Here is a 2,179-nt window from a genome sequence, read left to right as displayed (position 1 = left end):
CACTCAGCCTGTGACCTCAGCACAATCTCCTTCAGGAAAAGCGACACCACTTGCTCTGTGAACTTGGTGCAATCTCCTTCAGGGAAGCCGGACATCACTCAGTCTGTGACCTGGGTGCAGTCTCCTCAGTGAAGCTGTGCACCACTTGGTCGGTGACTTTGGTGGAATCTCCTCAGAGAAGCCGACACCACTCGGTCTGTGAACTCGGCGCAGTCTCCTTCAGGAAAGCTGGACACCAGGTCTGGGACCTGGTTACAGTTTCCTCAGGGAAGCCAGCCAACACTCAGCCTGTGACTTCCCTGCAATCTCCTTCAGAAAAGCTGGCGCCACTCGGTCTGTGACCTCAGTGCATTCTCCTCAGAGAAGGCGGCACCACTCGGTCTGTGAACTCCAACCAATCTCCTTCAGGGAAGCTGGACATCACTCGGTCTGTGACCTCAGTGCATTCTCCTCAGAGAAGGTGGCACCACTCGGTCTGTGATTTCAGTGCATTCTCCTTCAGGGAAGCCGGGCTCCACCTGGTCTGTGACCTCAGTGCAGTCTCCTCAGTGAAGCCCGGCACCGTTCAGTGTGTGAATTCGGTGCAGTCTCCTCAGAGAAGAGGGGCACCACTAGCTCTGTGAACTCCATGCAATCTCCTTCAGGAAAGCTGGGCTCCACTCCGTCTATGATCTAGGTACATTCCCCTCAGAAATGCTGGATACCACTCAGTCTGCGACCTCAGTGCAATCTCCTTAGAGAAGCCGGGCACCACTTGGGGTAAATTCGGTGCATTCTCCTCAGAGAAGCTGCGTTCCACTTGGTCTGTGACCTGGTTGCATTCTCCTCAGGGAAGCCAGCCAACACGCAGCCTGTGACTTCCGTGCGGTCTCCTTCAGGGAAGTCAGCCAACACTGGGTCTGTGATTTTGGTGCATTCTCCTCAGGGAAGCCATCACCACTTGGTCTGTGGACTCCATGCAATCGCCTTCGTGGAAGCCGGGCACCACTCGGTCTGTGACCTCGGTACCATCTCCTCAGGGAAGCCAGCACCCATTCGGTCTGTGAACTCCGTGCATTCTCCTCAGGGAAGCCGTCACCACTTGGTCTGTGGACTTCATGCAATCTCCTTCAGGAAAGCCGGACACCACTTGGTGCATTCTCCTCAGAGAAGCCGAGCAGCACTCAGTCTGTGAAATCCATGCAGTCTCCTTCAGGAAAGCCGGACACCACTTGGTCTATGACCTCGGTGCAATCTCCTCAGAGAATCTGGCACCACTCAGTCTGTGACTTCAGTGTATTCTCCTCAGTAAAGCCAGGCACCACTCCGTGTGTGAATTCGGTGCGTTCAACTCAGAGAAGCCAGCAGCACTCACTCTGTGACCTCAGTGCCGACTCCTTTTCAGGAAAGCCAGATACCACTCGGTCTATGATCTCAGTGCGTTTTCATTTATGGAAGCCAGGCACCACTCAGTCTGTGACCTCAGTGCATTCTCCTCAGAGAAGCTGGTCACCACTCGGTGTGTGAATTCAGTGCATTCTCAGGGAAGCCGGGTACCACTCGCTCTGTGAACTGCATGCACTCTCCTTCAGGAAAGCCGGACACCACTTTGTCTGTGACCTCAGTGCAATCTCCTCAGTAAAGCCGGTCACCACTTGGAGTGTGAATTCAGTGCATTCTCCTCAGAGAAGCCGGGTACCACTTGCTCTGTGAACTCCATGTAATCTCCTTCAGGAAAGCCGGGCTCTGTGACCTTGGTGCATTCCACTCAGAAATGCTGAACACCACTCAGTCTGTTACCTGGGTGCAATCTCCTCAGGGAACCCAGGCACCACGTGGTGTGTGAGCTTGGTGCAATCTCCTTCAGAGAAGCCAGGTCCATTCAGCGTGTGACCTCTTTCCACTCTCCTCAGGGAAGCCAGCGCCACTCGGTCTGTGAACTCCATGTGAAATCACCTTCATGGAAGCCAGACATCACTCGGTCTGTGACTTCGGTGCAATCTCCTTCAGGGAAGCCGGGCTCCACTTGCTCTGGAAACTTCGTGCATTCTGCTTTAAAGAAGCCGGGCCGGCGAGGAGGGAGGACGGAGGACAGAGGCCAGGCCAGCGGCTCTCAGAAAAGTCCTGTGTTGACTTCTGTGCGATGTGTCTTTATGGATTGGCATCCAACAATGTAGGGCCCTCATATTTCTAAACAGGT

General features: G+C 54.3%; 1 annotated feature.

Annotated features, from left to right (window-relative positions):
- Positions 405-1,604: an enhancer, noted in NCBI's record as "CDK7 strongly-dependent group 2 enhancer chr8:2362643-2363842 (GRCh37/hg19 assembly coordinates)". NCBI's record gives its function as "activates an origin of replication core promoter dependent on BRD2, BRD4, P300/CBP, MED14 and CDK7 cofactors, with strong dependence on CDK7, by STARR-seq in HCT116 cells {active_cell/tissue: HCT116}" and the evidence as "EXISTENCE:reporter gene assay evidence [ECO:0000049][PMID:35650434]".

Source organism: Homo sapiens, chromosome 8 (assembly GCF_000001405.40).
Source record: "Homo sapiens chromosome 8, GRCh38.p14 Primary Assembly".
Classification (NCBI taxonomy): Eukaryota; Metazoa; Chordata; class Mammalia; order Primates; family Hominidae; genus Homo; species Homo sapiens.
Note: the sequence above shows the minus strand (reverse complement) of the source record. Positions and strands in the feature narration are given on the sequence as shown.